Source organism: Homo sapiens, chromosome 6 (genome assembly GCF_000001405.40).
Source record: "Homo sapiens chromosome 6, GRCh38.p14 Primary Assembly".
Classification (NCBI taxonomy): Eukaryota; Metazoa; Chordata; class Mammalia; order Primates; family Hominidae; genus Homo; species Homo sapiens.
Window position 1 is genome coordinate 132461150 of NC_000006.12, and position 24164 is coordinate 132485313.

General features: G+C 36.8%; 1 protein-coding gene across 5 annotated transcripts in view, besides 1 other annotated feature; it reads right to left on the bottom strand.

Moving 5' to 3' along the window:
* Window positions 1–24164, bottom strand: part of STX7 (syntaxin 7) — a 67606-nt gene that overhangs the window by 15283 nt on the left and 28159 nt on the right. For 3 of the 5 annotated variants that reach the window (NM_001326579.2, NM_003569.3, NM_001326578.2), the window contains exons 3-9: window positions 14444–14513; window positions 11133–11226; window positions 10314–10451; window positions 9425–9477; window positions 8802–8898; window positions 7254–7326; window positions 2844–2926 (exon numbers count right to left, since the gene is read on the bottom strand). In NM_001326579.2, coding sequence (NP_001313508.1) covers window positions 2844–2926; window positions 7254–7326; window positions 8802–8898; window positions 9425–9477; window positions 10314–10451; window positions 11133–11226; window positions 14444–14513 — 608 coding nt within the window. Of the gene's footprint in view, window positions 1–324; window positions 712–2843; window positions 2927–7253; window positions 7327–8801; window positions 8899–9424; window positions 9478–10313; window positions 10452–11132; window positions 11227–14443; window positions 14514–24164 lie in introns of those variants that run through there. The other 2 variants (NM_001326580.2, NR_137169.2) reach the window with 2 other exon arrangements.
* Window positions 4381–4675: a silencer, noted in NCBI's record as "tiled region #15532; HepG2 Repressive non-DNase unmatched - State 15:Elon". NCBI's record gives its function as "represses a minimal TATA promoter and a strong SV40 promoter by Sharpr-MPRA in HepG2 cells {active_cell/tissue: HepG2}" and the evidence as "EXISTENCE:reporter gene assay evidence [ECO:0000049][PMID:27701403]".

Consider the following 24164-nt stretch of genomic DNA (forward strand, 5'->3'; position numbering starts at 1 on the left):
TTACTGACTTAAACAAGAGACTGAGGTTACCTATGAATAAAAATAAAGAACAGCTTACGAGCTTAAACATTCTTTACCTTTTATTAAAGTTTTTCTTAAAAATGAGTTCTCTGAAGATATCAGTAAGTACAAATTGGCAACTTTTCTTCACATATATTTCTTTTCTTTTTTTTTTGAGATGGAGTCTTGCTCTGTCACCCAGGCTGGAGTGCAGTGGCACAATCTTGGCTCACTGCAATCTCTACCTACCAGGTTCAAGAGATTCTCCTGCCTCAGCCTCCCAAGTAGCTGGGATTACAGGCGCGTGCCACCACACCCAGCTAATTTTTTTTTTGTATTTTTAGTAGAGACGGAGTTTCACCATGTTGGCCAGGATGGTCCCATTCTCCTCACCTCATGATCTGCCCACTTCGGCCTCCCACAGTGCTGGGATTACAGGCGTGAGCCACCACGCCCAGCCCCTCACACATATTTCTTGTTTCCAAAATACAATGATTTTGGAATGAGTTTCCAAAATCATTCTCATTCTTTAATATTAATGGGAAACTACATTCAAAATCTCAACAAACAAAACCACAGAGCAAACAAAATCATAATGCTGTCATTGAAAACCGAATGGTTAAGAATTTTGTTCCGTTCTTCATTCCTGGTTCAGTTGTAGATTTCTTTAATGGCGTTTGTACCTCACATCAACATGCAGGAATCCTTTTTCTTACAAAGTAGAAAAATTTGTAAATTTACTTTGTGTCAAGTAGAAGTACCAAAATATTTATAAAAAGATACATTTCTGAGTCTGAAATTACACTGAAAACCATAAATAGTTTGAATATTCCACATATTCATCTAATTTTTCCAGTGAATACTCCTTACGTATCAAACACAATTTCTCTAAAATTTCAATACCATGCATAAATATTTTTCCCAGACTCCAGTTGGTTACCACAAACACACATGTAATGTACCTGTGAGTCATCACGGGTATCCCACAATGGTGTGTTTGTTGCCTGGGGTACTCCCCCTAGCGTGGGGTAATGAGACCCTGGGGCAATGTGGTGATAAGTGAACTTGAATTTCTCACCTTCCTTATTCTTAGGGTTCACCCAAACATATCAAGGCTTCCAAACAGAACTATTGGAAAGCTGCCTCTTTTCTCAGCACTTGTGCTGCATGGCCATCTCGTCCCGCTTCGGGAGCTGGGGGAATTAAGCCTAGGGGCAGCTTCCAGTCCTGGGGTGTAGCTTGGGACATGTGCTTTTTCCTGTAGGCTTGGCCTTCCACAAGGAAGAGGAAGAGTAAAACTTGGCAGAATATCCACATTTCCCCCAAATCCAAAAGCAAAATAAAATACCATGTGAACCTAGTCACTGATGGATCCTGTTAAGTTTCAGCAGTTATATGCTAACAGCTCCAGAAGACTTCTGGCATTTGCAGGGGTGTGTGTGTGTGTGTGTGTGTGTGTGTGTGTGTGTGTGTTTTCAATTATTCGTGAGGGATACCTAAAGTCCATGACACAGTGATATAGTGATATTAATTTCACTGAGCTGCATATCTGAATGACATGGACAAAGATAATAAACAGGAGTGACTGTCAGTGAATACAACTGGTTATAACTCAGCAATCTCCATAGCTTCATTATTATTTACTTATCACTGAATATGCAGTAATTTGTCCAGTAAAAGATGGACTGTGAAATAAAGGCAACTTCTAAGGTTAGTGAGAAAAACAAAAAGCAATTGAAAATGTCTGAGAAGGTGACAATATCTTAGATATTTTATAAGAAGTTAACAGCGGCTGGGCATGGTGGCTCCCATCTGTAATCTCAGCACTTTGGGAGACTGAGATGGGTGGATCGCTTGAGCCCAGGAGTTCCAGACCAGCCTGGGCAACACAGCAAAACTCTATCTCTACAAAAAATACAAAAATTAGCCAGGCGTGGGGGTACACACTATTCGGGAGGCTGAGGCAAGAGAATGTCTTCAGCCAGGAGGCAGAGGTTGCAGTGAGGCAAGATGACACCACTGCACTCCAGCCTGGGCATCGGAGCCAGACTCTGTGTCAAAAAAAAAGTTAATAAGGTCAAGAAAATGATAATTATGAATGATAGCAACAAAGGAATGGAGTTTTAAAAAGGAAATCAAATGCTACATGGTATTTAGGGGTTTCCAAAGAGCCTGGCCTTATCCAATTTGAACATCAAAGGTCTGCATATTGTATGATGTATTAATAGTTGATAGTTCTAATATTTGTATAGTACTTGACATATAATTTATATTTGACACATGCATGTGGACTCCCTATATTAACCCGACTCAAGAAATAAATTCATTCCTGGTGAAGGGTCTGCTGAATGTGGACAGAATATATAATGAACAGTGACACTCCAAGCTAATATGATTTCCACAAGACCTGAAGCAATCTCTCTAGGACAAGGAAATTTGCCTCTTTAGTCCAGTGTGTCACTGACAAAAAGAAAGAAAAAGTAAAAGGGAGCAGCAAGAAATGGGAAGGAGGGGCCTATCACAAAAAGGTTTCTGGGTAGAAATGTCACAATGACATCAGAGATCCCCGGCCATCAGAAAGCCTAGAATTGTCTCTGCCGCCCAAACACTAAACTTTCTCTCCCTGTGGGCCAACAATTCTGGTTCAACCCTGAGAAGAACACAGGCTAAAAACAGTTCTAAACTGACTGGTATTATTTAAACAGACTTCTCTTCCATGGGATTTTAAATTTTAACATCTTCAGCCATTTTAAACCTAATCTCTCCCTGCTTCCTCAACACAAACACACACACACACATACGAAAAGGATAAGTTATAAGAAAATTGATCACAGTTAAATTACCTGATAATCTGCTGCCCTTGACAGCTGCTGATTTGCTTGCTGAACGTGCACCTCTGCATTTTCCACATTGGCTTCTATGCTATCTGTAAAATAAAACACACACACACAAATGTGTTAAACATGGATTGATGCTCCAGTAACAAATCACTAAATTTCATTCAAGGTAAGATTAAATATGGTCATTATTCAAAGGTTAATAGTAGTATATCATAAAGTTGAATTTTTTTAAGCTGGCTTTAAGAATTATAGTATACACCTATACTATTTTTCAGGTGATCCAAACAATATAAGAGCATTTGTATAACAGAACCTTAATCATCTTCATTACAGAGCAACTCCAGCTCTACCTGGCAACCCCTGAAAAGTACTGTCACCCTGACATTATCAAATCAGTGTCAGCACAAGAGATGTCTCAGTGTCAAACTCCACAGCTTGGTCTATGTCAAGACCAATGCACAAGAGATCAACTCTCTTCTTTCTACTGCTGAAGATTTTGTTCATCATGATAAAAACTGGTACCTTGACTTTTCAAAGAATATTATGTCCTCAGAGGGAAACAAACAAACAGAAAAACCCAAATGCTAAAACTTGATCCCTTAATCATTATGTTAGTCATTAATGTTTCTCAATTTCTTTTCCCTCTATGTCTTTGTAAATGGAATGTAATTTAAGTTACTGGAGCATAATACCTATGCTCTACTTAGTTTGTGTTCTGTAATGGCCGACTCAGTAGCAAGCATGTGACAATGTTTATTTAAGGTAAATACAGAGTGCTGAAGGCCATTTACTCTGTGGTCATCAACATACTTCTGTGCTAAAATCTAGCCCTCACCGAGGGCCCATGAAGCCTTCTCAATTGGTGGCAGTTTTTCTTCCCACCCTCCAGGGGCCTGGAGGTGGAACGGGTGTCATTTTGAAGCATGAGACCCTTTGCCCTTGTCTCTTCCTCCCTACCAGCTCTCAGCTTTAAGGCTCATGCTATCAAACTCAGCCAACTCTCTTTGTTGCAGACATCTATCAATCGCATGGCCTTTTCTTCTCATTCCTTGAATATTTTAGCCTCTGACTCACTGATGCTCTCTCCAACACTTCTCTTATACATACTGGTGACTTCAAGATCCAACTGCTGACCCTTCTAACACCCTGGCCTCACAGTTCACTGACCATACTTTTTCCAAAGACGAACACCTTTCCTCACCCACCCATTTCCATGGTCACATCCCAAACCCTGACATTCCAATAATTGCAGTTGTTCCATAATCTCAATTTCAAGGGTCTCACTCTTTGATCACCACCTTCTATCTCTAGAGCTCACTCCTTCTAATTCCCTGGCTCCAACAATTTTCAACTTTCATTGATCCTACCACTTCTTCACTGTCCCTCACATATGGCATGTCCTCACTTCCCTCCTTACCCTAGCCTTAGAGTCCTTGGACAATCACTTAGCCTCAGCTTACTCTCATCCTTAGCCCCCTTGCCCCTCCACTTTAGTCATATGACAAAACCCCAACCAGTACCCATGCAGCTGATTATGGATGTAAAAAGGATTAACTGTGTTTCACTTTAAAGTCATGACTGCCAAGCAGGTCTACTTCATTTCTCTGACTTCTGAAAGACTACGTCATACTTTCTCTTCTCTCCTCAAGCTTCTCAGGCCTCCTCTGGCATTATCATTCTCAGCCCATGACCTTGATTTCCAGCTCTTTGAAGCAACAGGAACCATCAGAAGACATTTCCACACGTTTTCATGACCCTATCTACATGCAATATTTGTGTGTTCTGACAACTTTCTTGTTGCCAGGAAGAACTATATACCCCGAGCAAGAGCCAAATTTTCCATTTGTGCACTTTATCACATTTCCTATCATTTAACTCAAAAACCTCAGTCCAGCAAACTTCCTCTCTCTCTTACTTATCATCAGTATTTCTTTCCCTGGTAGATCACCTTCATCAATCCCATAGCTGCCATCTTAAAAACAAGCAAACCAAAAACCTCTCATTTATTCCACATCCATTTTTGCAGCTATGACTGCATTCTCTGTTTCACTTCCCCTCTTTACTCCTTGAAAGAGTTATCTATACTTGGTATCCACCACTGTTCTCCTCCCATTCTCTCTTGAGCCTACTTTTATCATGCTTTCACCTACACTATTTCACCAACACAGCTCGTATTGAGGTCACCTATGCCCTACACACTGTTAAATCCAGTAGTCAAATCTTAATCCTCATTTTTCTTGGCCTAACAGCAGCACTTGAAACAGCTGACCATCTATTGTTCTGGAAGCACTTTTTTTCACTTCCCTTCTAGGACGATGCATTCATTTGGATTTCCTCCATATCACTGGCTATTCCTTAGTCTTTTTATTTGTTCTTCTTCAACTGTCTGGGCTCTAAATCAGAGGTTAAGAAGCTTTTTCTGCAAAGAGCCAGAAAATGAATAAGCTTTGTGGGTTGTATGATCTCTGTTACAAGTATTCAGCTACCCCTTCACTGTGCAAAAGCAACCATAAACCATACATAAATGAATACATGTAGTTTGAAGACACTGTTCTAAACATTTAGAGGATCCAGGGCTAAGTCCTCAGACCCCTTCTATTCTCTACCCAGACTTAATCCCTGGATTATCTCACCCAATCTTGTGGTGTTAAATACTATGTGTACACAGATCACTCCTAAATTTAGATCCCCTGCCCAGACTTCTCCCCTGAACTCCATGTTCACTTTAATAATGTCAAGAAAACCTTCACTTGGTGTAAAGGGGCACCTCAAACTTAACATATTCAAAAATGATTGATTTATACCCATCTAAGCCTGCTCCACTTACAGATTTCCCCATCTCAGAAAACAGTAACTTCACCATCATAGTGGGCCAAGCTAAAACCTTAGCATCACCCTTAAATTAACTCTTTCTTTCACACTCATACCCAGCCAGTCAGTAAATCTTTTCGGCTGTCCACTTAAAAAATATCTGAAATCCATGAACTTCTCACCATCCCTCTAGTTCCATCCTAATCCAAGCCAACAAGATTGAGCATCTGGATGACTGCAATAGCCTTTTAGGTGACCTCCTTGCTTTTGGTCTTTTTCCAGCAGCCAAGTGAGTCTTTCGAAACTGAAGCAGGGTTATAGCACTCTTCTGCTCAACTCCTCCTTGGCTTCTCATTCGTTTGTAAAAACTGAAATCTTCCTACCTGACATCATCCCCTGCACTTGGACATGATCTCCATCTCCTTCTTGCTCATTAAAAATGTCAGGTATGCTTCTGCCTCAAGGCCTTTGTACTCGCTGTTCTCTCTGCCTGGAACACTTTCTCTTACTTGCTCCCTTAAATCTACCAAGGGTTCACTAAAATGTTACCTATCAGTAAGTACCTATCATACCTAACTACCCTGTGTCAAGCAGCAACAATTTCCACCCCTAGCAGTCCCATCCCTCTACCCTGGCCTTATTTTCTCCATAGCACTTATCACCATTTACTTGCTTTTCTCGCCTTTTTAAAAAATTGTCTTTCCTCCCATTATAAGATCAATTGAGATAGGGTATTTTATCTGTTATTTAATTTCAGCTGAATCTCCAATGCCTAGATTTGTGTCTGGACATAGTAGCCACTCAACATATTTCGGATGATGAATAAATTGGTTTTTGAAATTTTACCCTGTGATCTACTGGGGATACAGAGGAGGGTAAGAATGGATAAAAAATAGTTACACTGAAGTAAAGGTGCAAATATTTCAGTTGGACCAAATTCAGAAAATATACTAAAAGCATCTTTAGACATACCAATACATAGCTCCAGACTTCAAGATGGTCAGGATCCTGATGAATGTTAACAACTACACCCTAATTGAAATGCTATTACATTCAATACTTAAGGGATTCTTAGCAACTTTAGAAAAGAAAATCACTTCTAAAAAGAATTCCTAACTTCTATGTAATACTACTAAATTCATCTACCAAAAAGCTATTAAAATGAATGATTAGGCAAATGTCTACCTATTCCCTAATACCTAAAAGACAAGATGTCATGCACAGTTACATATACCACAAGTTTCCCCAAAAGTGCTTAGCATGATGACAAATAAATTGGAGTAAGACTAAAACCAGAGGCCCTGGAAATAAGCTGGAATAATGTTTCATGGTGCCTTCCATGGTCTTGGCAGCAATAGGCCCTGATTAAATTTGGGCTTCTGAAATAAATGAAGCTGGTTATTTCAACCAGCACGAGTTAAAAATGAGATCTGTTTTAGATAATGCCAAGGGTGATGCTTACTGTGTTTTATAGACCATGCTTTTGGTTCCAGGGAAACCAAAAAAGGGACAGAAAGTGGTTACTCTTCTGTGAGAAAGTTACAGCAGGTAAAGTGCATGTAGCTTGCTCTCACCTCCAAAATCTAAGTCAGCAGGTCTTACCTATTACATCTCCTTGTTCATGAATCATCATTCCCAAATCTTTAAATATTTCATTAATATCCATAATATCAGCCTAAGAGAAAACGCATATATTATTATAATCAGAAATTCAGTCCCCATTCCATAAAAGAGGAAAAATTTTAAAAACCCAAACCACTACTCACACATGGGTGAGCATGCATCTATAATACACAAATATAATACATAAACTTTGGAAATATCAGGAAAATATTTGACAATAATTAAGAAGAATTTGAACAATAGCCACCAGTTCTCTAAAATCAGTTTGTGGCATTAAAAATACCAAGTGAGCGAGGCAGGATGGAAATGAATGGAAATGAAGGATCTATAATAGAGAAGAGCCATGGATTGCTGAGTTCATTTTATACAACCTGATAGTTTTGTTATCACAAGCAGTATCTACTTACAAGGGTATAAAATATTCTTAGCATGTATTTCTAGTAAAATTTACACATCAATTTGACAATTTAAAGTAATAAAACATTAGGTGTAAATTTAAAGTCTCACATTAATAATTTGAACATGCAGTGGATTAGTGAAATGTCACTACTGAATAAAGAAGTTATAAACTTGGTGATTAAATATAAATTTACTTTTCTTCAATGACACAATTAACTGCTTCATAAAGTTTTTATAAGGACTAAATGAGATAATTAACATAAAGAATTCATCCCACAAGTGCCTGGCACATGGAAGGTCTTCAATAAATTGTAGCCATTGTTAGCTATTATTAGCCTTCTTTCTAGGAACTAAGTAGGTTCCATAAGAACTATGACTTAATAAATCCTTTAGATCTCTTTGATGTCATAAACATAGTAAAGAGAAATAAAATTCTTTGAAGGCCTTATAAAAGGTCTTACTCATGCAGGTATGATGTGTATCATGTGCTCTGGGAAGACATCCAGACTCTTGGACAGACATTTATCTCTACACTGGTATTTTCTCAATACTAAGGTGGTCCATAGATGGCTTGATATAACAATAATAATTTTTAAAAAGCTGCAGTAGGAGGGAGTATGATCCCTCGTCCTAGCACAAACAGTAAGGACAATATTATTTTTTTAAAAAAGGAATTATTCCAACTCATACATTACAAATGCTACCAAACTGATACATTAATTTTCTTTCTCTGGGCCAGACATGGTGGCTCACATCTATAATCCTAGTACTTTAGGAGGCCAAGGCAGGCAGATCACTTGAGACCAGGAGTTTGAGAACAGCCTGGCCAACATGGTGAAACCCTTTCTCTGCTAAAAGTACAAAAAATTAGCCAGGTGGGGTGACACGTGCCTGTAATCCCAGCTACTCAGCAAGCTGAGGCACAAGAATCGCTTGAAGCTGGGAGGCGGAGGTTGCAGTGAGCCGAGATTCCACCACCGCACTCCAGCCTGGGTGACAGAGGGAGACTGTCTCAAAAAGAAAACAAAATTTTTCTGTCTCATGCATTCTCCCAGCATTACCTAAGCATCTTGAGAACAAACTCACTAAGACCAGAGCAGCAGCCCAAGTCTACAATGTAAGCCTTACTTCAAGTTGCCTGATAGAAGATTCTCTCTCATGAATAAGACGGAGGTCATCCTCTGTAATTTCTTCATCCTGCACCTGCACTTGAGGTTGAGTTTGGCTAACAGAAAAAAATGAATGTGGAAAAAAACAAAGATTGGTATTCAAAACAATGGGACTCATTTCCTATTTAAGATATATTCATTAAATAGGATATTTTATTCTCCAAAGTCACAGAACTACTCAAAAAAATTCTAAGAATATAACAGATATATTAATAAAATTTATTCATTTTTCATTTCACTTATATCATTTTAGCTAATGTGAGTTTAGAGTTATTACTTAATTATTGGAAGCTGTATCTGTCAACTGGGTATTTCTTCTCAGCTGATTTAAACCTCATATAAGGGAATGTCTATATTAATAATTAAGTCCATAAACATTTATTTGGAAAACTTTATATATTTTGTAATAAATACTTTATAATTACTTAAAATTTTTTTCAAATTTACTCTGTTTTCAACATATAAACAACTTAGGATATTTATGATATAATATATTGAAAGCTTTAATTCTGTTCCAGGGACCTTAATGTATAAACTTTGAAAAATTACCTTTTGATCTGTAAAATGTTTTGTATTTCTTACCTTTCCCAGGATACAAGATTCCTTTCTTTTGAGCTGTCCTCAGGAAAACTGCCCTGAATAATTTAGTAACAGGATGGAATGAGAAGGGGCAAAAAAAGCAAAAATGAGAAAAAATAAACACTCATATTTTCCCTTATAATAAACTAAACTGATTTATGTACGTGTCTGTGTGTATGTGTGTGTGTGTGTAGAGACAGAGAGAAAGAAGTTCTTGTTCTAATTTTTCAGGTCAACTGCTTCAAGTAATAATATAATTATAAGTAATTTTATATTCTAAGTAGACAAGAAAGGAATTCACTAAATATTCTCAAGGATCAAATAAGTATTATTTAGTTAAAGCTTAATGTAGTCTTGGAATCCATATGTTAATGAATAAGAAAATAACTCATGATAGTTTCTAAGGGAATTTAAAATTAGATTAATTCAAAATTCTATTGTAAAGCTTCCTTTCATTTATTTTCTCCAGGCTCATGTTCATTTTCAATATTGATACAACATACTTGCGCCATTCATCTCCGTCATCTTGGTGTAATCCAGGAGGAAAGTGCTTTCTACACTAGCGTGTACACAAGCAGAAAGCCTCAGTACCAAGACGATGTGAGAATACTACTCAGGATTTGATCCCTAATCTTTTTTGACAAAATATGTCTCTATATTTTTATATACTCTGTAATCTTCTGTACTATGACACAAAAAATCACCACCGTAATACAAAATTATCATCCTTTTCTAAAAATGGAGCAGGAAAGCATAAAAATAAATATTCAAGAGCTGATTTCCAAGATATTCACAGATCTTTATGACTTAAAAAATTATGCTACTATAGACTTTTATGGGACCCTTAGCAAGTAACCATGTTCATTTCTAGAATGTCTTTTAAAATACTTACAGACACTCTGGAACTGGCTCTTACTCGAGCAACAAACTCTTTCTCTCGCTCAGCAGCCTGCCTCTGGACCTTCTGGAAGTTTGTCAGTGATGTTGTGAACTCTGCCACTAAGCGATCCTTCTGTATTTTCCTTTGACGCTAGAGGAAAGAGAAGAAAAAGCCAACTAGAATCTAGCTGTGAAGTTCAACTGAATTTGCGGTAGTTGGCTCTTTATTTAACCCTGAAGTTTTCACTTACTCCCCAATTACAGGGCCTTACAGATTAACTCTCAGTAACATTCTGATAGTATGTCAAATACTGTGCATATTTAACTTGAGGCAAAAGACCCATTATGCTGGATTTCTCACCTCAGGTTTTCACGCTGCTAAAAACTAGCTTATTATTTTGAGGCTATTTTAAAGTAATTCTTTTTCAGGCAAATAAAGCCTTATACTTTTAGCTAAGTAATAACTTCCATTAAATAAGCAGGGAAATAAATATGTGCCCCCAGGACACCTCACATCTTGAATGAGCCTGCATGTTCCACGCAGTCAGCCCCGGAAGGCCAGGAAATAATTACTCAGGAAGCATTTTCTGAGAACTAACTTAATTATGGGTCAGGGCAAATGCATGGAAATAATTTTTGCTTTATTGAACCACAGGATACTACCTGAGCAATTAAATATAGTTTTGTGTTCTGTGAACTAATCTCAAACAGAATTATTTTTGATTTCCTTTCTAGCATAATTTCCTTTCTAGCGTAACAGTTCAAAGATCCTACAGTGCACTGGGTTTTTTTCACATTCAATACATCAACAATGTGTCTTAAAGCTTGATACCTGTTCACTGGGGGTGGTGGGCAGAGATCCAAACTCTTTAATGTACTTATCTGTTTCTTTGGCAAGCTGGTTAGTATACTGCTGCTTCTGTTGCCTAAAGTGAGAAAACACGCATTACAGCCAAAGGACTAATATACTTCTTTAAGCTTCAACTCTGCCTTTTGAATCAACACTGATAAACAGTTGTACAAAAATTGCCTTTTCATAAACTGGCTCTCAACTTTCTCTATCAAAAAAAATTTCATATCCTATTCTTTGATAAATAATGAGCAAATATTATATGTCAGGTTCTTCACTCACACAGGGTAGGCAAGCTTAGAGAAATCAATTCAACGGCCATTTAGAAACACAGATGACTTGAATCAGAGGGAACCTGAAGGAGAGACTGTTAGATGTCTGATCCTTTATGTTTGAGATACTGGGGATGTGGAAGCCCTTTATCTGCATCTCACACCTGGAAGGTCAGGTAAGCAAGAAAAGATTTGTTACCTTAGACTTTGCCCAGTTCCCAGATCTAGTTATATCTGGCCTCTCTTATTTCTCTATGTGAACATGTATATGCTATAGATACTTAAAAAAAAGGCGGGGGGGAGGGGCCAGGCATGCTGGCTCACACCTGTCATCCCAACACTTTGAGAGGCCGAGGCAGGCGGATCACTTGAGGCCAGGAATTTGAGACGTGCCTGGCCAACATGGCGAAACCCCATCTCTACCAAAAATAACAAAAATTAGGTAGGTGTGGTGGAGCATGCCTGTGATCCCAGCTACTTGGGTGGCTGAGGCAGAAGAATCACTTGAACATGGGAGGTGGAGGATGCAATGAGCTGAGATTGCACCACTGCACTCCAGCCTGAGCAACAGAGGAAAACTCTTGTCTCAAAAAATAAAAATAAAAAGGAAAGAGGCAATATTGGTACAAATTTACTATTATTTAAGTTTACGCTGGAAAAAATAATGGCATTTCCTTGTAAAGGGAAAGAACACAATAAATAAAAGAAGTAAATTATAGTCATCCCTCAGTATCTGCAGATTGGTTCCAGGACCCCTGTGGATACCAAAATCCGCTGATGCTCAAGTCCCTGATATAAAAAGGTATAGCATTTGCATATAACCTATGCATATCCTCCCATATCTTTAAATCATCTCTAGATTATTTATAATACCCAATACAATAATGTAAATGCTATGTAAATAGTTGCTATATTTTATAGTTCAGTTTTTTTTTTTATTATTGTGTTGTTTTTTTTTTTTTCTTGAATATTTTTGACCTGCAGTTGGTTGAATCTGGGGATATATAATCTATGGATACAGAGTGCTGACTACATATCCATATTTTATCTAGCTATCTTATAAATTGAAAAGATTTCCAACTTAAAAACATGACACTAAAAAAAAGCTCATATTAATTGTGATGTTTTACAAATCACAACATCAGTACCTCTTATATATTTCATCTCATTTTAAATATGGTCTGGTCACACTTGGGGTCCTTTAAAATAATGAGATATTGTATAAGAATATGCTTAAGAATAGGGATCTGTATTTGACTGACAAAGGGTAATTAAAATCTATTTCTATCTCTATTTACCAAATACCCTATCTTTAATGCATTTTTGTAAATCTCTGGAAATCATAATATAGTCAAAGTTTTAAAAAGAAGACCTTAGGCTGGACATGGTGGCTCATGCCTGTAATCACAGCACTCTGGGAGGGTGAGGTGGGTGGACTGTCTGAGCCCAGAATTGAAGACCAGTGCCGGCAACATGGCAAAACACCATCTCTACAAAAAATACAAAAATTAGCCAGGCATGGTGGATGTGCCTGTATTCCCAGCTACACAGTAGGCTGAGGTGGGAGAATCGATTGAGCCTAGGAGGTCCAGGCTGCAGTGAACCGTGATAATGTCACTGCACTCCAGCCTGGGTGACAGCATGAGATCCTGTCTCAAAAAAAAAAAAAAAAAAAAAAAATCCTTAGTGACTACGGATATATATTCAGAATCTTCATTATTAACTCTATCAAAATATTAGAACTTTTATGAATTATGTACTTCTATTCCATTTTACTTTAGTTTAATGAATTGTGGTTTATTATTTAGATTTGGAGCATTTTTACCATTCTGACACTTACCCACTGTGGAAAAATAAAATATAAATTAGAGATAATTGTAAGTCCTTCAAATTGTACTTCCTAAAAATATGAATTCCTATTACCTATCTTTTAATATCGTCCTCTTTGCAGTTTTCCCTCTATAGTTAATGTTGTTTAGAAGTATTGCTTACTAGATATATGTGACTTGAAATTTACAGCTGTAACAGTACTGAAATAAAATTTAAGAGTTAAGTTCTAAATGACATTGGGTAACTCGTTAAACCCGTAAGAGACATGAACAAAATGGAAACAGTTCTTTTGGTCTATTTCTCTTACTCTAATTCTGTAAGGTTTAAATGATAAAATATGTAAAAATACTCTGTAAAATCCACAACATACCACAGACAAAATATTATCACTATGACTGCTGGTCTTCTAACAGCATATTAATTTACTGGAATATGTACTATATAATTCATTATAACTTTTTTTTAAACGGAAGCTAATGCTCTCTGAAATTCAAGGATGTAGGTATAAACTTGTGGGGAGACAGCTCACGTAGCTGGTTATGTATTGGATCTAAACCAAATAAAACTCTGGTGACTGCGGGGATTTTTAGCTATGGAAAGTAAATCACATAAATTGAGATACTAGAGTATAATTTTTCAACAGCTGTCAAAAACAACCTACCTAAAAACTGTAAGAAATGCAACTAAAGAAATTCTGCTTTGATAGGGTAAGCCTATCAAGGAATTTTTTTTTTTTTTTTAAGACAGAGTCTTGCTCAGTCGCCCAGGCTGAAGTGCAGTGGTGTGATCTCGGCTCACTGCAACCTCCGCCACCCGGGTTCAAGAGATTCACCTGCCTCAGGCTCCTGAGTAGCTAGGACTACAGAAGCTCGCCACCACGCCTGGCTAATTTTTTTATTTTCAGTAGAGACGGGGTTTCACCATATTGGCCAGGTTGGTCTCGAACTCCTGAACTTGTGATCTGCCCACCTCAGTCTTCCAGATCTTTAATATAAAAACACCTGCCTACTCCAGACAGGGAAAAATCTACACAAAAGCTTGGTACAAATGTATGGATAAGGTAGCAGAAAAACTCCATTGTTTTTCCATTTTTTCTTCCAGTAAACATAATATACTACATACTGTAAAAGCAACAGAATAATAGCAATAGAGTTTTTTCTTTCTCTTTTATTTATTTAACTAGATACTTACAACTGTTGCCTCAATTCAGGTGAATCTTGAGGTGTTCCAAGTTGATTCAGAGTTCTTTGTATTTCCACAGCTATTATAATAGAAAATTCATGTATTAATTGTCACAAAAGTTAAGGTAACAGAAAGAGTTAAAAATTAATATGTACAAGCAATTGGGCAGTTGAAAAGAGACAGAAAAACAAAGATGAAAATAGAAAATATTAACTGGAAAAAAGAATAACTAAATGGTTTACTTAAATCTAATTAGTAACAAAAATTTTCAAGAGGAAATTGTGTGAGAATGTTAACTTGTGAAAATGCACTTATGACCCAAAAATACTATCTTCTTCCTTATCCCATCAGGATATTATTAAGTAAATACAAGGGCACACAGACTTTAACACTACTAGCATAAAAATTGTGAGGAAATAAGTAACAATTACATATTTCATTAGAATATAATATAAATAAGTTATTGTTAATAAATGAGAGGAATAGAATTACAAAAAATCATTTTTCAATTATCCATGTAATAACTGATTTCAGCAAGGTCATCAAAAAATGCTAAAATCACAGGACATTCATACAACTTAAATTACCACCACACAGATGACATTAATTACAAAAGATATAACTTTATCATATATAAATCTGTTGTCTGAAAACAAATGACCAAATTTAGCAGTGAGAATGGAAAAAACTGACATTATGAACCTTGTGGCATGCTGCAGCGAGAAAGCCACAATATGATCTGAGGATTTTTCTTGCCAAAATATTTAACATGAATCTAATCACAAAAAGAAATTAGACCAGTCTAGACTGTGGGACAATCTACGAGATAACTTGCCTGGGCATTTAAAGACGTCAATGTCACAAAAGGGAAAAAAAAAGTTGACAAAGACAGAGGTGCTTTCTAAATTAAGGAATTAAAATACCCAAAAGACACTGTATGATTTTTGACTGGATTCTGAATCAGGAAAAAAGCAAGCACTATAAAGAAAATCATAGGGACAACTGGAGAAATTTGAATACAGAAAGTAAAAAACACATTAAACAAAAGTTGAAAAATGCCCACAACTGGCAAATCCAGGTGAAAGGTTCATTGTACTATATACTTATATATATATTTTGTGAGGTTTAGAAAAGATTTTAAAATAAAAAGTCCAGGGCTTAAAAGTCATGTTAAACTCACAATCCGGAAGTCTATGACTATTGCAATTTTTTTAAAAAAGGCTCTACACAAAAGGGGAGGACCTACAGTTTTATGTATGTGGGGACATAAATAAAATGTCATGGTACATAAATAAAACGTCAAGTAGAAATAAGCTGAAAATCCAAAGAACTCTTAACAATCTAACCCCCTCATTCTTTTTATTTAAATGAGTGGTTTACTTATATAGCTTAAATGCTTTAAAACTATTCATTATTTACATGCTCAAGGGAATGATAAAGTATTACAAAATGCAGGATAATTTTGGTCACCGCGAATGATGTAATAAATACTGCTTTTAAGTGAAAGCTGAAAAACAGAAACACTAGAGAAGAATCAAAGCATATAGCAACTCTTAGCATTTGGCTAATTTAATAGGAATTTATTTTTGCTTTTTGGGGGTTGATTTTTCCTTTCATAAGACAAACAAATTTTGTTTGCCGTGTTTAACTTATGGCTGCTTATAATTAGCTATATATTCCCTCTCAACCTCAACAGATTTTCTTGAACTGCCTTATAGGGGCTTTATTTTCTTAAGCGTATTGATAATACAAACTGTAGTATGGGCATCGATAGACTATTGGCAGGTATTTATCTCAACTCTAAAGTGTTATTGTTCTTTAGGAAAAAATCATAGCAAGTGAGAAAAAATAAATTATTTAATAAATGACACCAGGAAAACTGACTAACCATTTGGGCAGGGGAGAAAGAACCCTACCTCCCAGCATATAGCAAAATACATTTTTAATAAACCATTAATTTAAATAGTAAAATTGAAAATATTAAACTGCTCTAAGAAATATAAATGTTTTTATTATATGATCTTATACATGATCTTGGAGTAAGAGATATAAAATATTAGCTAAGCATGACACAAAACTAAAATCCACAGAGGAAAATATTGACAAATTTGACTACATAAAATAACTTGGTTAAATGTTATACAAAAAATGTGTACATATATCACAAGTATATATGTAAGTGTGTGTTCATATACACACAGGAGACAGTAACTGCAGGTTATGATGAGGAAAGAGGTTAAACTACAATGGTAATTATTTTTGGTAACAGAACAACAGCCCAGTAAAAAATGGACAAAGGTTATAATCTTGCAATTTACAAAAGGCAAATGTGTACATAACAAAACTTCAACTTCACTGATAATTAAACTTTTATGTTTCTGATTGGTAAAAATTATGAAAAGCAGTTGAGAATATAATTACAATCAAAGGCCTTAAAAACAAAAGGTAAAGACTACATAATATATAAGAAAGAGGGAGCAATAGTCAATAACTATAAATAATTTAGAAAATGTCAGACAATCCAGTAGAAAAATGGGCCAAGACACGTGTATATCTATATAACAAACATGCACGTTCTGTACATGTATCCCAGAACTTAAAGTATAATAAAAAAAAAGAAAAATGGGCCAAGAATAGGAACTTTAATATTCATGAATAAACTGAATAGCAAAAAAAGGACCGAAATGCATATCAATTTTGCAAAGTACAAACAAGTACACCACATGAATGCTATATAAAATTACTCAGCCAATTAAAGAATTGAGTAGAAATGGATTCTGACAGGCCCAATGGGAGCCTAGTTCCACCATGTGGTAATTTCCGGTTTCTGAACAGATATACTGAGCAACCCCCAGTTCTCACTCATACTCCCTGAGTAAGGGCTCTTATGGAAGGAAGAAATCATTGGAAGCCCCTGGGGACCCACTCTAATAAAAAAATAAAACCAAGGGCATTATCTATTCCCTGGGAATTACTCAGAAATGCCACCATCAAGGACAGAAAGAGCAGGGAGTGGACATGCCTCTCATTCCCATTTAACCGGCCTATCTGGAGAATGCAGAAGGCTAATGCTCATGATAACTAGCAAAAGCTTATTCAGGTGGTGACTCCAACTGCACTGTTCCTCAAAATGTGATGGATTTACTACAACAGAGCATCACAATCTCTAGCAACCTGTATATACCTGCTTATATGGCAAATACTTTTTGCTCTACCCTAAAGGACAGAGAACATGAGAAAGGATTTGCTATCAATGGGATGGGACATCAGCGAGCCTTCACAGGCTTATCTCACGGTTATGCACACTGTCTATCTTTGTACTACAATTTCGTTGTCAAGGATACGGATCATCTCCTCCTACAGGACACTACATTAGTCCAATACACTGGTTACGTCTGCTTTTAGGACCAGAAAAGCAGGAGGCAACATGTACTCTTAGATGCCTGCAAAGCATAAGTAAGCCAGCAGGTAGAAAATAAATCCATGAAAATACAGGGCAGTGTTTCCTCAGTGAAAAATCTTGGTGAATTAATCTGTAGATAACTGGCATACTTCTGCAAAGTGCTTTTCTTTGTAGCCTCAAGTACAAATGAGAAACAGACTTTTTATGCTGCTTCCACCCTTTACTGAATGACCCAAAGGTTACCAGCTTTAGCTTCAACTCCCAAAAAGAAAAGACCATCCAGCGAGTTCAAGTGGTGGTATAAGCAGATCTACAACTTGGCTTTAATGACCCAGCTGATGCAATGGTACATCAAGCCTGTGCAATTTCAGGGCACCGAAGAAAACTAGTAGCAAATCCCAATAGGAAAAACACAGGGGTCCCTTAGAATGTTGGAGCAAAACCTTCCTTTTGAGACTTGTTCTGGCCTTGCTACTGAGCCCTGGATAGAATAAACAATGGTACAAGGTAACCAAGTGACTCTAGCTGTTCACCATGAATTGTATCTTGTTGGTACAGCCTTTCTACATTTTGCTCTACGTATGTCAGTCAGCCTATCCCTCACCCCAACTCCTGAAGCACTTGTTCAGTGAAATAATAAACTAGCAATGGCTGTCAGAACAAAAGCCACATATAGACTCAACAATATGGATTTCCTCTTACTCAGACTGACATGACCATGGGTATTGCCGTACACCAATTTGCAGCAATAGCAATCTCATGTTATACTCTATTAAATCATTTTTGTTTGATTTTTTGTATTAATTTTTTCATTCATCCTTTGGACTTCCCAGATGCACATCCATACGCTCTACAGAGATGATTTTACCCATTTTATTTTCTATGGCTAATTATCTTTACAAACACTTTCAATAACGTGCTAATTTAAAAATAAAAAGTAAACTAGTGATGTGCCGTTGTTGAGGGTTGACCCAACTAGCTGCTCCTTCCATCTTGGAGGAGGCAGAATTTTATATTCACTTCAATGGTATTACTCTGGGTTCTGTTATGCATCCTCTAAGCACCCACTGTGCCCCCTGTGGCCCGTCCCCACTCCCCCGACCCCATGCTTCTACCAGACTCCTAATCCACCTATTAGTCACAATCAAGGTGTTCCACACACCGATGCTTCTGCTCAAGAAATTACAGAGAAAAAAAATTAACGGTGTTCCAAGGACAATGGGATTCACTGCTCTGCCATGTATTCTGTTATCTAGAAGCTGCTGGACTTCTAGAATGTTTACGGCCTACTGAGACTCAATCCTGGCACCACCTGGGAGACAAGCATCTTGGGAAACTGAAGGATCCTTATGGTCTCAAAGAACCACCACTCCATGGTGCTGTTTCACCTACAGCCAGAAAGAAACTTGGATTTGGGAAGTAACAGGTCGAAGTAAAGTCCAATATTTCACGATTACACCTAATTATCCATTTGTACAATTTTTTCCATCTCTCAAGGTGACTTAGAGACAACATCCAAGGGAGGAAAACAATCACGTTTTCAAGACTACAACTGGTCATTTAGGGCCAAGGTAGTATGTTGATTGAGGTAATTATTAAGCGGAATTTGGGGTACGCTCATACACAAGTAAAAGGGAGATGAACTGGAGGGGGCCTGATAATACTGCCATCTTCACTCATAAAAGTGAGTACCACATAGCCTGTGAGCAGGAGCAACAAGGACCCAGGGCTGAAAATCTGGGTTATCCCAAACAGCAGAGGTGCTGAAAGAAGGCAAGAGGAAAGTGGAATGGTTATTATAACAGGAAAATAGTAATACAAACTGCAGCCTGTGATCAGTTGTAGAGTGGTAACTTAGCACCTGCCAGTATTCTTTTTCTTGCTCTGCAATGTATATATTTAGATATATTAACTGTTCGTCTCCTTCCCTATTTCCTCCACTGTTATATATAGAATGTACCATTTGTGGTTACTCTGAGACACTGTTCCACAGGCTAAGGAATACTGCTGTTCAGTTTTGCTGAAAGAGGAGGAGCACACAGGAAATCACCCCCTAAATTTGGCATTGGCTACAGGAACTGAATAGACCTCAGTTTTATCCCTTCTGTGGAAATGGGAAAGGAGTTCTCGTTGCATGAGGGATAGCAGCAGTGTGTCACGCAGGAGCTTTTGTTTTTAAGCTTAGGTATGAAAAAAGGAGGCGTGTTCACTGTAGAAAACAAAAGGGATAAATTATAGTGAAATTTATTTTGGGCCACCTAATACCCAAAACTACTATTAGATTGGGATCTTTTTGGTTATAATATGACCACTGAGAAGTAGCACCACAGAGCCAATCTTTGGAGGGGGAAAAAAACTGGTTGCTAAAGCAACAAAACTGTTTTAAGATTCTTTGAACATTGCTTACCTTCATTATCATACAGGTGATTAATAATGAAAGTATTAGTCACTATCACTAACAATCTAGTTATAATCAAAAGCTACATTTACTCTGTGCTTTTGGTTTTGTAGATTTAGGTTTTATAGATACTGAAATTTCTTAAAAATCAAAGGCTCTGGCTAACAACCTCCTTGTCACTCTGAAACAATTTTTTAAGATAATACAATGTCTCATAAAATGAAGCCTCTCAGAAAACAACCATTATGTTATTGCCTAATAGAATGCATTTAACTAATGAGAGCTTCTCATGAACAGAAATGGAAGACAAGGCCCCCTACACTTATGCAGCATACAAACTAGAAAAGGACAAAAAAACCCCAAAAGTACAAACACCATATAAACTCAAAGAGGGTGCAGCAGCAACAAATGCTATAACAATGTTTCAAACAATGACCTATAATATGTGTGTTCTATTGGAGGACAATCCAAAAAGCTGTAATGAAGGTGGCATTTGTAATGGTTTGAAGGGTAAGAAATAGGACATTTCAGTTTGGAGATTCAAACCTCTAATATCATACTCAGACCTACACTGAAATGATCAGAATACCTATTAGTCACCCTAACTAGAAGGCAAATTTCTTGAAGGCAAGGCCTAAGTTTTATTCATTTTGGTTTTTCCAGAATTTATCATATTGTTGACCCTCAATGAATAGTTTTATGAGTGAACCATAAAAAGAATACTGGGAAGATCAAAACGTACGTAAGAAATAATATATATTTCTAAAACATACAGCATAAATAAATGGAGAGTTAAGAAAGGTAGTTATGCCCATTTATTATTCATTCATTGATTCACTCGACAAACATTTACTGGGCATCTGCTACGTACCAGGCACAGCGAGAGGGCTTCTGAACGTGAACATTAATTTGGTTGCATTCCTTTAAATTGAGCAGGTCTACACTTGAGGATCAATTAAAGGCATCATCTGATCAGGTGATAAAGGGCTTATAGGAACATAAATCTGAAACTACTAAATCAAATTTGGAAAAAATATTATACGGTATTAGTTCAATCCTATTTTATAAACAAAGAAGTTGAGAACCAGACAGAATAACTTGTTCCAAAAACTATAGCTATTTAGTACAAGAGCTAGGGTTAGAATGTAGATTTCTTGGTTTTCAAAAAACTTTTTTCAATGTGCTAAAAGGACTGAAAGTAAAAGATGTTAAAACACATTATTTCATAATCCAGGTGTGTGACAGTTGACAAAGCAAACAAAGAAAAAATAAGTGTGTCTAGATTGAAGAAGTAATTTGAAGGAGTTGAATTGAGATGTTAGATGTTTCCAGCAGTGCTCAAAGTAAGTTTAGGTCTGGCAGTGGATCACAAGGATCCTTCTTCCCAGCTGAAAGTGATCAAGGAAGAAACGCCTGCTCTTTCTCTGGGTTTTATGAACTGCCAAGATTCCACAGACTTGATTTTATATACTACTAGCATTAGCCTCCTACACCAGGGTCAACAAATTATGGCCCGTAGAGCCTGAAACCTGGTTTTGTACAGACTTCCAAGCTAAGAACTGTTGCTACAGTTTTAAAGGGTTAACAAAAAAGAAAAAAAAAAAGAAAATGAAAGAAAGTCTAAAAGAATCTGCCCTTTACAGGGAAAGTTGGCCAGTCTTTGTCCTCAGTTATTAAAAATTACTAAAACCTTGTATTTAAAAACTCAACTTGGCATGTTATTTGAATGTACTGTCATCCTTCACTATCCCTAGAGGATTGGTTCCATGCCTCCCTCCATCCACCTCCCAAAGACAACAAAATCTGCAGATGCTCAAGTTTCTAATATAAAATGGCATAGTATTTGCATATAACCTATGCACATCCTCCTGGAAATCACCTCTACACAACTTACAATACCTAATATATAATAAATGCTATGTAAATTGTTATAGTGTACTGTGTTTTATTTTTAAAATTTTTCTGAATATTTTTGTTCCATGGTTAGTTGAATCCATGCAGAATCCATGGAAAAGGAGGGCCTACTGCAGTCACTGCATTAAGTCTATCTAGTAAAATATTTAACAATGTCACAAAATTTCCATTGAACATGCATGTACACTGAGTTGAAGTTCTTTGATTCTCAGAATATGCTATTCACCCATCATAGGTGCTGGCTTGAGTACCTCATTTTCATCTGCTGCTCTTATACTAATTTAGAAACAAAACACTTTTTCATTGTTTTGGATGAGCATTTTTATAGCATATTTGCTGCAAAAATATTGTTAGCACTCTATCATGTTATTACTCTCTGGTTTTTGGCCATCTCCTAAGTTCTTCCCCTTCTAGAAGGTATGGATAGTAGGATATGTGGTTCACAGGATCTTCTGCGACACCCCAATTGACCATGTTCAAAAATGCTTGAGAAAAATAAGCTTAGAGAAAGGGAGATAAGAGGTTTCTAGTCAGATGACAAGCAGTATGGTGATCTGGAAAAATAAATAATCCTCCTACTTTCTCCCAAGTCCAGTCTGTAGGATTTCACTTCATTATCTAGCCTTAGGTGCTATGAATTTATAGGACAGTCATCTTCTATTTTGATTGGCATAGGTCCAATTAAAGAAAAAAACTCATGAAACAAGCCGCAGTCTTTCCAACCATAAAAAGAATTAAGAATAAACAGTTTCTTGAAGAAAAGTTCATCTAATGCATACAGGTAGGATTAAATCAACATGTGTCTCTACGAGAATACAAAGAAAAAATTATTTTTGCATTATCTACAATTTTGAACTATCTGTACCACTACTCACTTCCACAGACGTGACTTCAAAGAGTATGTTACATTTTTCATAACAGAAAAATAATACCATTTCCTACACATCCGAAAAAGATGCACTACTGGGTCATCAAAAACAAAACAGTGTCCCGTTTCTGGCTCTTCTACAGCAATGAAGATCCATTCTGTTCCACGTGGGTCTGCTGCCATCTAGTGGATTATTTAAGAAAAAAGCTTTACAGTAAAGAATAGTTTGTCATAAAATTGTAGGCTGAATTTGGTATCAGGGGCTATTAATACATAATGTTACCACCCGTCAGACTTCACCAGCAAATGGATGCTGTCTGACAAATGAGACTGGCCAGGCTGTGGCGGCATGGCAGATCAACCTAACACACACACAGAGTACCTTTAAAGAACTGTCTCCAAATAACTAAGAATAGCTATCTTCTCTTTTAGCAGAAAACATCTGTTTTCAACGTAAAATAACCAACTTGTAACAGCCAAACATAGAAAAAAAAATAATGGTTAGTAAAATCCCTGGACAGGTGATTTTGAGATTCCAACACAGACTCAGCCACATCACACTGAGGAAGAAGTACAATTGAAGGCTGACCAGCAAGTAGAGTTGGAGCCAGACAGCCTGATATCTCACTTCTTCCTGGCTGCTGACCCTGGGCAATTTACCTAATGTCTCCAAGCTATAATTGCTTCAACAGTGAGAAAGCACCTATTTCTCAGCTGTCATAAACTTTAACCGAGAACAATATAGGTAGGCACCGTGTACTGGATATAGTAAGCGCTCAACAGAGTCTGTTGTTCTCTTGAAGGTCAGAAATGAATAATAGGAATATTCTTATTAACGTTTTTTATTTAAATGCCACTTTATTGAGGTACAACTGACAAAGCGCATAAACTATAGTTTTACAAGTTTGGACATATGTGTACATCTGTAAAACCATCATCACACTTAAGACAGTTATTAGATTCTTCACCCTCAAAAGTTTCCTTGTTGTAGTTTGCAATTTCCTCCCTCCTGCATATCTGTTCCTTCCCCCCTCCATCACCAAGCAATCACTAATATGCTTTCTGTTGCTTTCTGTATTTTGCATTTTCTAAAGTTTTATATAAATGTAATCACAGAGTATTTATTCGTTTTTGAAAAAGGATGGTG